General features: G+C 43.6%; 1 protein-coding gene across 3 annotated transcripts in view; it reads right to left on the minus strand.

Annotated features, from left to right (window-relative positions):
- The window catches only part of ANO2 (anoctamin 2), a 383,578-nt gene extending 370,264 nt beyond the window's left edge, over nucleotides 1-13,314 (minus strand). For 2 of the 3 annotated variants that reach the window (NM_001364791.2, NM_001278596.3), the window contains exon 1: nucleotides 12,278-12,341. In NM_001364791.2, the coding sequence (NP_001351720.1) occupies nucleotides 12,278-12,299 (22 nt within the window). In that variant the 5' untranslated portion in view covers nucleotides 12,300-12,341. Of the gene's footprint in view, nucleotides 1-12,277; nucleotides 12,342-13,232 lie in introns of those variants that run through there. The other variant, NM_001278597.3, reaches the window with a different exon arrangement.

Raw genomic sequence — 15,099 nt, forward strand, 5'->3', positions numbered from 1 at the left:
AATGGGCAAAGGAGGAAAGGAGACTCCAGGAAGAAAGGCAGTGATTTGTATGATCCATTGCAATGGGCCTCGGGCCTGGCTGGTTGAGATTATGGCCCTCCTGAGAGCAATGACTGCTAGCCTCCTCACCCTCATTTTCTGCCTGCGGAGTCCCCACAAGGGGCCAGCTACGTGGTGAGATTTGAGGGGCACAGAAAGGGCCCTATCTGGTGTATAGTGCACACTTCTTAACATGGCCTACAAGGCCCTTTACCATCTTTCTTGTCAACCTTCCCACTGTCATCTCCTGCTAGTGACTCTCCTCTTGTGCACACACAGCCACACATGCACAGAAACTCCAGAGAATGAACTGCCTGCAGCTCCCAGAAGGTGATCTGCTTTTTTATTTGCCCTTCTGTCTCTAAACTTCTCTCCCCAACCATACAACCACCCCAAATTCCACTCTGTTAACGAGGTTCACAATTTATTATAATGTTAAAAGATTTTAAGCAAGAGAACAACATAATTAGATTACATTAGAAAGATGGCCCTGGCTGTAGTGAGGATAAATGAGGTGCCAGGAGAAGGATGGATAAATGGATGGGTGGGTGGGTGGATGGACAGGTGGGTAGGTGAATAAATGGATGGACAGATTCCTAACTGTTTTTCTGATACACGTACCCTTTATAAAATTCACAAAATTTTATTTCACTGGTCACACTGCTACTCAAAACTTCCACTGTCTTGAGGCTTACAAACAACTTGGCATCCAAAGACTTACACAGCTGACTGTTACATGTCTCTGCTGCCAAATCCCTCCATCAGACAAGAACATTCCTCTTTAGTCAAACCTGTCCCCAGACTGATGCTCACTCTGTGCCTCTGCCTAGGCTGTTACTTCTGTTTGGCATGTCCTCTCCACTAAGCTAAGTCATACCCAGGTAAAGTCCTACTCCTATACCACGCCTTCCCTAACCACTGAAGGAAGTCCTCTAGAAGTTCAGATTTGCCTTTTTTATCTCTGTATTCCTAGCACAGGACTCTGGATGCAATAAGAGCTCTAAAAGCTTTTGGAGGTAACGATGTAGGGAACTGAGGAATCCTTTCTTGTGAGTGAATTTTGAAACAGGATGGATTCCCCTGTGCTGAACTGAACATAGAACTGCCCTACTAGTAACAACTACAACACTAATCGCTAACACTTTACATGTGTCAGACACTGTTTTAAACACTTTACATGTATCAATTTATGTAATCTTCACGATAACCCTGAGGTAGGTACCATTGTTGTCACCATTTTACTGATGAGGAAACTGAAGCACAGAGAGGCCAGGTAAGTTGTCCAAGATCACCAGCACACTCAGTCCACACTTTTCTCCACTAAGCAATGCTGTGCAAAAGGAAGATAAATGGCCAACATTACTTGGTAAATCCCTTCCTGGCTGGACATTCTTAACATCCCTCACCCTTTAAAAAGGTCTTTTTACAAATAGCATTTATAGTCAATGATCAGACCCAAGATCCTAACAGTTAAGACCAAGAGAATAAGAATAAGAGAGAATTATCTTATTGAGAATGTAATCGAATGAGAAATTCATTTCAGGAAGTGCTTCTCTCAATGACAAAATTTACAAATTGGGACTTGGATGAGTTGCCTAAATGAAACCTACTCATTGGCAGCCCATCCTACACTTTGGTTTGGAGTATGGCTGATGAGATTAAGGTATAAATGCCCCTCCTTACATGTCATGAGGAAGTAGCCAGTGTACAACATAAAATTGGTCAAAACTGGTCTGTTGGCTCATTAATTATAACCTGTTTTGCAACAGATTTGCTCTGTTTGCTCTTCCATTGACATCCTGGGTATATTCAATGGGCTCCCTCCGTGTCCCTCATCATTCTCCACCACCCATAAACATCTCCCATCTCTTCCTCCTGGGTGTAACCAAGATTAAAGATATCATTCTTATTCTCATCTCTCCAAAGTAGGAATAGGTTTCTCCTACCCAAAATGGACTGGGACTGAGGTTAAAGCCTAAAACAGCTCTTCCAATCATAGCTCCCACTCTCAGGCTACTGAGGACTTTGGAACTGGGTGAGATGCTGGGGGTTATGGAAGGATGCAGCAGACATGAGGGATAGGAACAATCCTGAGAATTTTATAAAATATCCCAAATATATTTATTTATAGTCTGTAGGAAAGTGCTCAGAAAATGCCTCTGTTACAGCTTTTTTAACTGGTATGAGTGAATTCATATTGTATAGACAGTGAGCTTAATGGGCTAGTTGCACACTGCTTGAGGATAGGCATAGTACCTATCTTATTCACCTCTGTATCCTAAGCCCTGAGCATATGACCTGGTACATAATAATCTTTGAGGGCAGAGTGTGAGAAAAGGAGGTTCAATAGCAAACATCCACCACAATGGTAACACCATGTGAAAGTCGAGAGGATTGTTCATGAAGGCACTGGAGACACACCTAGGGACTCCCATCATTACTGGGTCAGACTTTAAGGGTGACTGGAGATAGCATAATAACTAGTGGGGGAAAATTTTGAGAAATACATTTTTTATTTTCTCATAACTTCTCCTCCACCAGGCTACTGTGGTCTAGCCAAATGCAGATCGCTCTTATTCAAAACCAGGATATGTCCTCATTTGAGCATCTGTGAAATTATGGCCACCATATCCCAAAGGACAAAACTGGGAGAAAAAAAGTTCTGGAGAAGGGGCACAGAAGCATACAAGACCTATTCTGTGTGGAGAAGGAGCCTGTCATGGGAAGCCAGACTTAAAATATTAGGATTCCGCAACTGGAAAAAGACAAATGGGAACACAGAGGGGTTCTCAACCTTGGATATTCATTAGAATCACCCAAGAAGGTTAAAATATTGATGTCTGGGTTTCACCTCCACAGATTTGGACTTAATTTATCTGGGGTGATTCTATGGTACAACCAGGGTTGAGACCATTAGTCTAGAGAATCACTAACAGAGTCAAAACAGGGAGCACAGATCTAGTCACAGATCTTGAAATATTAGAAGAAAGAAGCACCACTATTTGGGTGGATTTACATTTCCCTAATGACCAATAATGTTGAACATCTTTTTACGTGCTTACTAGCAATTTGCATATCTTCTTTGGAGAAATGTCTATTCAGAGCTTTTGCTCATTTTAAAATCAGGTTCATCTTTTTATTGTTGAGTTATAAGAGTTATTTCTATATTCCAGATATAAGTCCTTTGTCTGATATATGACTCACAAATATTTTCTCCCATTCTGTAGGTTGTCTGTTCAATTTTCTTGATGGAGTCAAGAGAAGCACCTGCAACCAAAAATGCTCTTTTGGAGCATTTTTAATTTTTATGAAGTCCATTTTGTCTATTTTTTATCTGATGTGTCACGGTTTGACTATCGGTGTCTCTTCCAAAATTCATATTGAAACTTAACCCTCAATGCAGCAGAATTAAGAAGTGGGTCCCTCTGGGAAGGATTAAGTCATAAGGGCTCTGCCTTTACAAATGGGTTAGTACCCTTATAAAAGGGCTCAAAGGAACAGGCTAGACCCTCTTTTTGCCCTTCTCCCCCCAAGTAAGGACACAAAAACAAAGTGCCATCTTGGAAGCAGAGAGCAGCTGTCACCAGATACTGAATGCTGACACCTTGATCCTGGACTTCCCAGCCTGGAGAACTGTAAGAAATAAATTTCTGTGCTTTATAAACAAGCCAGTCTCTGGCATTTTGTTAGAGTGAGCAAACTGAGACAGAATGCTTATGGTTTTGGTGTAACATTAAGAAAACATCACCTAAACCAAGGTTGCGAAGATTTACTTCTATGTTGTCTTCTAGTTTTATCAATTTAACTACTACATTTACATCTACGATTCACTTTGAGTTAATTTTTATGTATGAGTGAGGAAAGGGTCCAACTTCATTCTTTGTACATGACTCTCTAGTTGAATTCAGCATAATCAAAGCTCCAGAATTTTTATAGAATTTTATTTTTATAGAATATTTACTTGGATGCAACATCATCAAAGCTCCAAAATTCTATACCATAAAGTGACAGGCACTTAGGTTGTTTCCATATCTTGACCACTGTGAATAATGTTTCAATGAACATGGCAGTGCAGATACCTTTACCAGGTAGTGATTTTACTTCTTTCAGTATATACCCAGAATAGGAATTTCTGGGTCATATGGTGGTTCCATTTTTTTATTTCTTTAGCAACTTCAAACTGTTTTCCACAATGACTGCATGAAACTGCATTCCACCAACAGTGTATAAGGGCTCCTTTTTCTCCACATTCCTTCCAAAAGAGTTATCTCCTGACTTTTTTATATTAGCTATCCTAACAGGTATGCGATGATATCTCACTGTAGTTTTGATTTGCATTTCCCTAATGACTGGTGACGTCGAGGACTTTTTCATATACCTGTTGGCCACTTTTATGTCTTCTTTGGAGAAATGTCTATCCAGGTCATTTGCCTATTTTTTAATTAGGTTATTTGTATTTTTGCTATTGGATTGTGTGAGTTCCTTATATATTGTGAATATTAACTTCTTATCTGATACACAGTTGCCAAATATTTCCTTCCACTTCATTGGCTGCCTTTTCATTTTGTTTCCTTTGTCTCTTTTTCATGGATCACTTATTTCTATTTATTTGCATGTCTAGTAAGTTTTATGGTATACTGGACATTGTGAATGATAAAACATTATCTTCCTATCGAGGGGGTTGGAATTTTTTTTTTTAACTTTCTAGCAGGAAGTTCAACTATGAGCTGATCACTTTGAGCTTATGTAGGAGTTTGCTGTTGTTGCCAGGGTATGCTGTGGAAAATCCAAGGTGTTTCTCAAGAGGCTCTAATCTGGAAGGGTTCAGCCTCTAAACTCTTGTCTTCCCTATTGATCTTTCTAGGCTTGGCCTTAGTGTTCTTCAGGGACCATCCAGAGTAAATTTTTCTCTACCGTGTGCTTCTTACTCCTAAAACAAAGCCCCTGGGGGTCTCAGCTACATGTCTGGAATGTTAGGACATGCTCATGAGGTCTTGCCACTCTGGCTGGGATGGACTTTCAACATCTCCCAGTACCGTTCGACTTCTACCATTTCTGTTCTGATCTCAATGCTGCAGCAGCTTCTCTCTGGCAAACTTCATATGCCTCACCCTGTGCATGTGAAGCCTCACTCTTAGCCAAGGACTCACGAAGGGTCCCCAAAGAGCCCTCTGGGCACCTCCTTTCACACACATTCCTCCTCTCTGTGTTCTTCCCCATAATTTCCAGGCATTTAGTAAGCATTTCCAGGCATTTTGCTGCTCCAAATTTTTATCTCTGTCTTCTCAGTTCAGTGGGATCCTTTCCTCCATGTGGACTCCAGATCCCTGACCCCTGGTAAATAGCCTGCACTCAGAGGGCTAAATTTCTCTTCTTTCAGGGATTGTACTTCTATGCTGGTGCTTGTTCAGTACCTGAAAATAACTGATCTACATATTTTTTTCCAGTATTATAATTTATGACAGAATGTCTATCCCAGGACCAGTTATTCCATTATGGCCTCAGCCTCCCAAAGTGCTGTGATTATAGGCATGAGCCACTGCACCCAGTCTATTTTATTTACTTATTAAGATAAGCTAAGGGCCAGGCATGGTGGCTCACGCCTATAATCCCAGCACTTTGGGAGATCGAAGCAAATGGATTACCTGAGGTCAGGAGTTCAAGACCAGCCTGGCCAACATGGTGAAACTCCGTCTCTACTGAAAAAAAATACAAAAATTAGCTGGGTGTGGTGGCAGGCACCTGTAATCCCAGCTACTCAGGAGGCTGAGGCAGGAGAATTGCTTGAACCCGGGAGGCAGAGGTTGCAGTGAGCCAAGATTGCACCATTGCACTTCAGCCTGGGCGACAAGAGCAAAACTCTGTCTCAAAAAGAAAAAAACAAGATAAGCTAAGATCCCAACCTTTTTTCTTGTCCTGAGGTAGGCCACAGGAGCACCTGTAACCAAGGCCAATATTTTTTTTTAAAAATAATTTTGTGGCCAGGCAAGGTGGCTCAGGCCTGTAATCCTAGCACTTTGAGAGGCCGAGGCAGGCGGATGATGAGGTCAAGAGATCAAGACCATCCTGGCCAAGAGAGTAAAACCCCGTCTCTACTAAAAATACAAAAATTAGCTGGGCGTAGTGGTGCGCGCCTGTAGTCCCAGCTACTCGGGAGGCTGAGACAGGAGAATCGTTTGAACCCGGGAGGCAGAGGTTGCAGTGAGCTGAGATGGCACCACTGCACTCCAGCCTAGTGACAGAGCAAGACTCCAACAAAAAAAAAAAAAAAAAAAAAACTTTGTGTTTCCTCAAGAACACTTGATTCAACATAATCAAAAGCTCCAGAATTCTAAACCACAAAGCACAGAAGAGATGACTTTGCCTAGAAGTTTCTCCCTGCTCTTCTTTTCAACATTTCAATTTGAGCACCTGCTCAATGAAACACCCACTCATTGAGCACCTACCGTGTGTCAGGCTGCAGTAAGGATCAAAGATGAGTTAGATCCATCCTCCATCCCTGCCTTTGAGTATCTCTCCCCACCTGTGGTATGCAGAAGTGTGAGGTGGGTTAAATCTGTTAGGTTGGTGGAAATTTGGGAAAGGCTCTGTTGAGCAAGGCTTAGAAATATGGAGATTTGACATGAACAGTCACTCAGTGGACTGGGTTAACGCTCTTATAAGTAATTTATTATTATCCACACCGATGGTGAAGGATACTATATGAGTCACAGTAATGCCATTCCTGTTTTCCGAAAGGTAGAAAGCGCATGGAAGAACAGGCATGGAAGGCTTCCAGGGGCCAGGGCCAGAAGTAGCACATGTCACTGTTCAGATTCCTTTGGCTAAAATTCAGTGTCATAACTAACTGTAAGGGAGGCTAGGAAATAAGGTCGAGCTGTGTGTTCAGGAAGAAGAGGAGAACATGGATTTTGGTAAGCAGCTAGTAGTCTCTGTCACAGAGGCCTACCAAAAATGAAAAGCTTGGTGTAGCATGTTCACACCTTATATTGTGTTAAAGTTATACATTTCCACATTTATCTCCCCAAGTAGGCTCTCAGATCCAGTTCAGCACCCAGGACAAGGCAGGGATATGGTAAATGCTTATTAAATGGTTTTTAAATCAATGGATGGATGGATGGATGGATGGATGGATAGATGGATGGATGGTGAGCTTGTGTGACAGTAGTTGGCCAACAGATTCTGTTGCTTCTTGAGGCTCCTCCTGGAATGCCACATATCGATGTTGTCAATTTAGAGAAAGATGCTTGCCTTCCCGTTTGATATGGAAGGTGGGCATGCCTCCAGTACACCTATAAACTGGATCAAATCATTTAGGCACAAGTTAACTACATTTAGCAAAATTTAGCATTTGAATTTAGATAGATTGTATAGAACCCATTCCTGCACCCTCTGATTCTTAAACTGGTATTATCATCAGTTCTCTAACGTATGTTTTAGAAGTCGAAGAGCCACACAGAAGCCGTCCAAGTGGAGGGTCCTCCCCATCATTGAGGCACACACTTCTAAGACCAGGAAGCCTAAGCATGCTTGGGGATTTGCAGGCAGAGGAGCTTTTCCTTCTCCAGTGACAGGCTTGTCTTGCTCCTAGGTTCAGGCAAAACCACAGTAACACACTACTTCACGTCCATGAGGATGGCTATAATAAAAAGATGAATAATAACAACTGCTGGTGAGTTTGTGGAGAAATCAGAACCCTCATAAATTGCTGGTGGGAATGTAAAATGGTACAGCCACTTTGGAAAATAGTCTGACAATCAAAGTTAAACATATGACCCAGCAATTCTTCTCCTAGGTATATGACCAAGAGAACTAAAAAACATGTACACACAAAGACTTGTACTTGAAAGTTCATAGCAGTATCATTTATAGTAACAAAAACTAGGACACACAAATGCCCATGAACTGGCAAATGGATAAACAAAATGTAGCCTATCCACCCAAGGAAATAGATTTCAGCTATAAAAAAGAATGAAGTACCGATATGTGTAACAATACACATTAACCTTGAAAGCATTATGCTAAGTGAAAGAACACAGACACAAAATGCCACACATTGTATGGTTCCATTTACATAAAATGTGTAGAATAGGCATATCCATGGAGACAGAAAGTGGATTCGCGGTTGCCAAGGGCTAGGGGGAGGGAGGAAAAATGAGCAACTGCCATTGAGTGTGAAGTTTCTCTTTAGGATGATGCAAATGCTTTAAACTAGATTGCGGTGATGGTTGAACAACTCTGTGAATATACCAACAGCCACTGAACTGGACACCTTTAAAGGGTACATTTTATGGTATGTGAATTGTATCTCAATAAAGCTGTTTTTCAATGGAATTCCTAGAATTAAAAATTACAATTATGGAAAAGAAAAATCCATTGGGTGGGATTAACAGCAAACTGGAGACGGCAGAGAAAGGATCAGTGAAGTTAAAGATGGATCCAACAAAAGTAATCAAATCTAGAGAGCAGAGGATAAAGATTGGAAAAATTTAACAGCACCTCAGAAACTAGTAGGGCGATACCAAACAAGCTAACGTTCATGTGACTGGAGTTCCACAAAAAGAAGAAAAGAAAAGCAGATCAAAAATAGTTGAAGAAGAAAAAAAATAAAATAAAAATAGTTGAATAAATAGTGGCTGAAATTGTCTCAAAATTTGATAAAATACAATAACTTGTAATAACAGATTTAAGAAGTCCAGCAAACTCAAGTTAAAAAAAAAAAGAAAACCACACCTAGATACATCAGAGTCAAAATACTGAAAACCAAAACTGAATATCAAATCTTGAACACTACCAAATTCAAAAGAGATTATACATTAATAAGATAATGAAGAATATTTAAATATGAATTTAGGCTAGCTTCTCGTCAAAACAATGGAGACCAAAAGAGTGATACCCAGAGGGCTGGGGCTGGGGGTGGAAAAAAAGCTATCAAACCATTCATCTATATCCAATGAAGTATCCTTCAAAAATAAGGATGAAATAAAGACATTTTTCATAAAAACACAAGTTGAGAGAATGTCACCAGCAGAACTGCACCTCTAACAATGCTACAGGATGTTCTGCAGGCTGAAGGGAAAGGATAACAAATGGAAATGCGATTAAGAATTCTTCCTAAGAACTTCCTGATGGAGTGCCGCGTATCCCTTTCTTACACAGAGAAGGAAAAAGAGACTCAGTGTCACTGCTCCAAATAGACTACTAGCCATTGACTGTTCCCTATGACTAAGTCACTACTTTTAGGATAACAGGTTTAACCTATTAATTAGTTATGATATAAATTTCATGGTTTTCAAATAGCATTTTTTAAAGTGTAATGGGGTAGAATGGACCAGAAAAGAATAAGGCAAAAACGTTCCTCTTTTAAAATTAAAAATAATATGATAAATGCCCACGTGATAAATAATACTCATTTTAAAAACCTACTAATGAAAATACAGCTCGTTATGTTGGGCAATGTCTTACATCAATATCACCATGAACTCGTGATATTTTAGTGTAGATAAACCAGTCTCCTTTCATTACATAATGACAGCCATGTTACTTACTGTCTTCCCTTTCCCTTTGAATGCCAGGAACACGTGGCCTGAGCCACAAGACCGCACACAACCTGGCTGGCTCTTACCTCTCTCCCTCTTGATCCCTCTGCTGCAGCCCTTAGCTTCCCCACAGGGGAAGCTCCACAGCCCAAGCATCTCCTTGCCATGGGTTCTTTTGCCTTTACTTCCTTTGCTAGACAATCCTCCAGATATCTGCATGGCTTGTTCCTTCATTTAATGCAATCTCTGTTCAAATTCATCTCCTAAGAGAGGCCTTCGCTAACCACTTAGTTACGAATAGTGATGGAGAATAGACGTTTCTCAAAAGAAGATATATAAATAGCCAACAAACATATGAAAAAATGTTCAGCATCACTAATCATCAGGGAAATGCAAATTAAAACCACAATGAGATAACCCACCTTACTGCTGCAAGAATGGCTATAACTAAGAAGTCAAAAATTTTACTAGATGTCGGCATGGATGTGATGAAAAGGGAACACTTTAACACTGCTGCTGAGAATGTAAACTAGTACAACCACTATAGAAAAACAGTATGGAGAGTCTTTAAAGAACTAAAAGTAGAACACCATTAGATCCAGCAATCCCACTACTGGGCATCTACCTAAAGAAAATGAAGTCATTATATAAAAAAGACACATGCACATGTATGTTTATAGCAGCTCAATTCACAATTGCAAAGATAGGGAACCAACTTAAATGCCCATTAACTAAAAAGTGAATAAAGAAAATGTGGGATGTCTGTGTTTGAGTGTGTGTTTGTGTGTGTGTGTGTGTGTGTGTGTGTGTGTGTGTGTAATACTACTCGGCCATGAAAAGAAACAAAATAAGTCTTTTGCAGCAAATTGGATGGAGCTAGAGGCCATTATTGTAAGTGAAGTAACTCAGGAATGGGTAACTAAATATCATATGTTCTCATTCATAAGTGGGAGTTATGCTATGAGGATGCAAAGACATAAGAATGATATCATGGACTTTGGGGACTCAGCGGGTAAGGGTGGGAGGAGGGATAAGGGATAAAAGATTACATACTGGGTACAATGTACACTGCTCGGGTGAGGAGGCACTAAAATCTCAGAATTCACCACCAAAGAACTTACCCATGTAACCAAAAGCAAAACCCCGTACCCTAAAAACTACTGACATTTTTAAAACAATTTTTAAACAATACAGATGGATTATACCGTGTACTAGAGACAATAACACCGTCCCTAGCAGCCAAATACCTGCTATGCATGTGCTCTAGCAACGTCATACATAGGGTGGGATGGGCTTCTCTCAGCCCACAGAATGGGTAGCTTTCCAGAAAATTAGGTCTTTGTTACAGAAAATTATAGACACACTCCCCAGTAGGCCCAAATGCCTCTCACCCTGCAGCCTTGCCCCACAATGGAAGATGAAGAGATGGCACACCTGGAAACTGGACTAGAACTTGAGGTGTGTGTTTGGATCCCACCCTTACCCCTCACACAGTCTCTACAGTCAACCAGCAGAGTGGCTCTGGTACCCACATAGAGGCAACTCAGACAGCAGAAGCAGTTGCTGGAAAGGATCGAATCAGGTGCTTGGCTCCGGAAATGACGGGTGCACGTTAAGACACACTGAGAGGAGCAAATGAGCCCTGGATGCCCAGCAGCTGAGCCAGGGTGACAGAGAGACTGGGCAGGGGCTCTGATGCCAGGTTCCAAGGACAAAGGCTCGGCAGGTGGAGGGCCAAGAGGACCACAGTCCTCTGGAAGCACCTTCACCTTGTCTAAGATCCTCCCTCCACCTGCCACCTGCCTTTGGGCTGAGACCCGACCTTGCTCAGTGGGACCTTCTGTCCCAGACGAGGTTCCACATGGTCCCGGGGTGGTATTTCTCCACATCTGCTCACAAAGTATCAGGACTGTGACTGACACCACCTCCCAGTGCACTCAGCTCATTGTTCATGCCAAAGGAGCGGGCACCTCCCTCTTCATGCCTGTCTCAAGAATTACCAGAAACACAACAGCCGACAAAGTCCCTGTCCCAGGCAAAGTCAGTCCTGCCCAAAAGCAATAAAATAACGTCTTTCTTCTCCATACTCCACCTCAATTTGCTTTTCTTCTAAGAAAAGTCCCTCGGGAAGGTATAGCTGTGTTTCCCTGCAGCCTGGGGTGTAAATGCCTGATCTTGGAACCCTTCCTGAATGCGGTTTTGGGTAAGACACTGGAAAAAACTTCTGAAACTGAGAGGCCACTCCAGGGATGCCAAAGTCAAATTTGCTCTGTCCTCAGCGGACCGTTGCTGAGTTAAACCCAGTCCGGCTGGTTGTTTACTTATTGTTTACTTACCTTCAGATGCTGTAGGCTAAACGTCCCCAGGACTTGTAACAAGGAGAGGCAACATCACAGAGGTGGGGATTGGTAACCAATCACAGAGAAGCGGCCGCCCAAACCTCTGTTGTCCTACCTTCCCTCTCCTTGAGTTAAAAAAAAAACAAAACAAAACAAAAAACAAAAAACGTCTCGGAAATTACATAGACGTCCCTCAGAGTCCCTACCCTGGAAAAACGGGGTCAACTTCCCGCACCACCCTGCCCAGGCTCCCTTGGGGGTCCCCAATCCCGAAGGGTGGGAGTTCGGATGCCGCCTCCTTCACTCCCTCCCTCCTACCACCTGTAGGAGACCAGGACCAGGTCCAGCCGGAAAACTCACCGCGCGGCCCGGGAGTCGCCATGATGTGGACGCAGACCCCGCCGGCCCGCGGCCGCGCGCTTCTGGGCAGGCTTATGCCGCCGCGGGGCTAATTCCATCGCGGCTCAGCTCCGTCCCGGCGCGCCCGCCCCTCGCCGGCTGCCGCCTCCTCCTCCCCCATCCCTCCCGGCCGCCGGCGCCGCGCAGCCACAGCCCAGCTCTCCCCGCTGCGCCCTGGGCGCCCGGGTGCTGGGAGCGGGGCGTCGAGAATGGAGCGCGGTCCCGCGGCCGGGTTGAGTCCAGGACACACTCGGGTCCGTGGGGCTGAGGGGCGAGACAGTAAACGCTCCCTGCTCCCCCAGAGCCGGGGCAACGCCCCACAACCTGCTTCGAGTGTAAAAATTCAGTCGGATTATCTCATGAACTGTCTGGCTGATTAGTTTCCAATCCTGCCAGCAAAACCTTCTTCCCGCCGCCCCAAAGGGTCATCCACTGCCCAAGAGTTAGCCCTGGGGCGGGAGTGGGGGCGAGCCCCTGGACGGCGGATCTCCCACACCTGTCTCCATACTAGGTGGAGACCAGCTGTCCTCACCTTCCCCTAGGTTAAGCAGAACAAAAGGGAGAAGAGGCAGGTAGTAAGTGCACAAGGGACCGCAAAACAGGAGGGGCTGCCAGAGGCAGGAGGAGGGGTCCATTTTACAAGAGCTCTCCCATGAGACGCTAGGAGGGTTAAGGAAGGTTGAGGGAGTAGATGATGGAAGCTCCATCCCCAGAGGGGAAGAGGAGTGCCATCTCCCCGGGACAGTTCACGGACCTGGGCAGGGGGATGGGAGGGAAGACCTCCAAAGGGCCCTTCTGCACGATGGAATCTGCAACTCCAAGATGCACAGAAGTAAAACAAGTTCATTAATACCATGGACCCCCAAAATGAAGAAGTACTATGTTAAGGTCAAGTATGCCATTTGTGATCACTGACCTTCAGGCATGAAGATTTTCTCTCCTATATTGATAAGGTAGGCTGGTCATGATAGATCCCACTTTATAGAGAAGGAGCCTGGGGAAGCAAAGGGGAGTAAGTGACACCACAGTCGAGGGCAGAGCAGAAGGAAAACCACAAGATGTGATGTCCCAACCCAGGCCTTTATTCCATCCACTGCAAGTACTACCAGCTAATGCTTCTACAGGACTTCCTCTCCACCCAACACCCTTCTCAGTGCTTTCCCTATGGTAGTTATTTTAATCCTAACAATAAGTATATGAGGCAATCACTGCAGTGTGCCCATTTTACAGATGAGAGAACTGCAGTGTTAAATGGCAAGTAACTTGCCTCTAAGAGGATCCTAGGATTCCAAAGCAGGCAGCCTGCCCTGGAGTCTGTGGCATAACACTCTGCTATTCTGCTCCTTTCTGTCCCTAACAACCCCTTTCTCCCTGTCTACTTCCAGGGACCGTTATCATGTCTTTTCAATCCCCAAACGATTGAAAAATGGTCACCATTGCTCTTTCATTCATTCCCTTTCTTCTTTCCCTCCAGCAGTTTCTTAGTGTCTATATACTCCTTCCTTGAGACTCCCCTTAAAACATCCACTTTGGGGCACTCTGTCTTGCCTGGTCTGAGGGTGAGTAAAAAAGAGGGTCCCTGAAACCAGGTACAGATAGTGCCTTTGGAATACCTGTAAATAAAAGAAGACTGCCGAGACACCGCTCCGCACACACTAGCCCCACAAGTTTCTCTTCTTGCATCCTTTTTACCCAGCTCTCTTCCATCGTTTTGGGTTTTTTTAAAATAATCAAAACATGCAGTTTTCCGATTCAGCTTTTTTCTTGACGGTAAAATGACATATCAGTAAACATGAGAAGTTCAAGCTAGCAAGACACAGGCAGTTGGAAAATCAACCACCTATGCTGCAGTGGTAGCCTAGCCTTCCTGCTGAATTTCTCCAGAGCTGATGCCTCCAATAACACCTTGTCCCCAGCTAGAGTGTTAGGCGATCAGTCAGAAGAGTGACAGTTAATTCCCTGTCCCTGGATCTGGTTTCCTACCAAGAGAGACCTTAGAGGCTACCCAAAGTTGGGAGTGGGGTGATGGATGGAGAGACAGTAACCTTTGAATTACTGAGTAGTTACATAAAACTTCTATCCATTCTTCCTTCCTTCTGCCCCACTAAACTCCCCACCAAGCCTACTCAGCATAATCTATGCCATTTTCCTGTAATGTGGCTTCTCTTAAGGTTAAGCTCAGGCAGTAACAGAAGTGGTGGGAACTTAAGGGTGCAGCAGTCACTGGTCCCCATGTCAGCACGGGAGGAGTGTAAGCAACAGGGATGGTGTGGCTCTGATGGGGTGGCCTGGGAGTTCTTATGCAGGTGTCAAGTCACCTGGGTTCTGAACCTGGCCCTGCCACCCAGCAGTTATGACCTTTGGCAAGTCACTTGAATTCTCTGAGCTGCTTTCATCACTTGTAAAGGAGTGGAGGAGGGACAGTGGACTAGATGATGTCTAAGTCCCTTTTGATTCCATTATCCAGTACTTTCAATGAGCTGAGTCTCTCCTGTGTCAAAAGTATTTGGAATGAAAATCAATTCTTCATCAAATTCTTGTAATCCAGGACATCCCCTTCTTTCTCATGGGTATTCTCCCCAGCAAGAGTCCCCACCATCTTGCCAGCATGTACATGAAAATTCTTCCATACATTTTAAGGAAGGACCATCTCTAACTGCAAGTGACAGTACCAGTTAGTGATTTGGGGACTGGATGATGTTTGGTGTTATCTACACCACTTCCTCTTCCACTGAAGGATGTCTGGAGTATGTAGGACCTTGGCATCAAGCATAAAGCCTGAT

Source organism: Homo sapiens, chromosome 12, assembly GCF_000001405.40.
Source record: "Homo sapiens chromosome 12, GRCh38.p14 Primary Assembly".
In the NCBI taxonomy this organism is placed as follows: domain Eukaryota; kingdom Metazoa; phylum Chordata; class Mammalia; order Primates; family Hominidae; genus Homo; species Homo sapiens.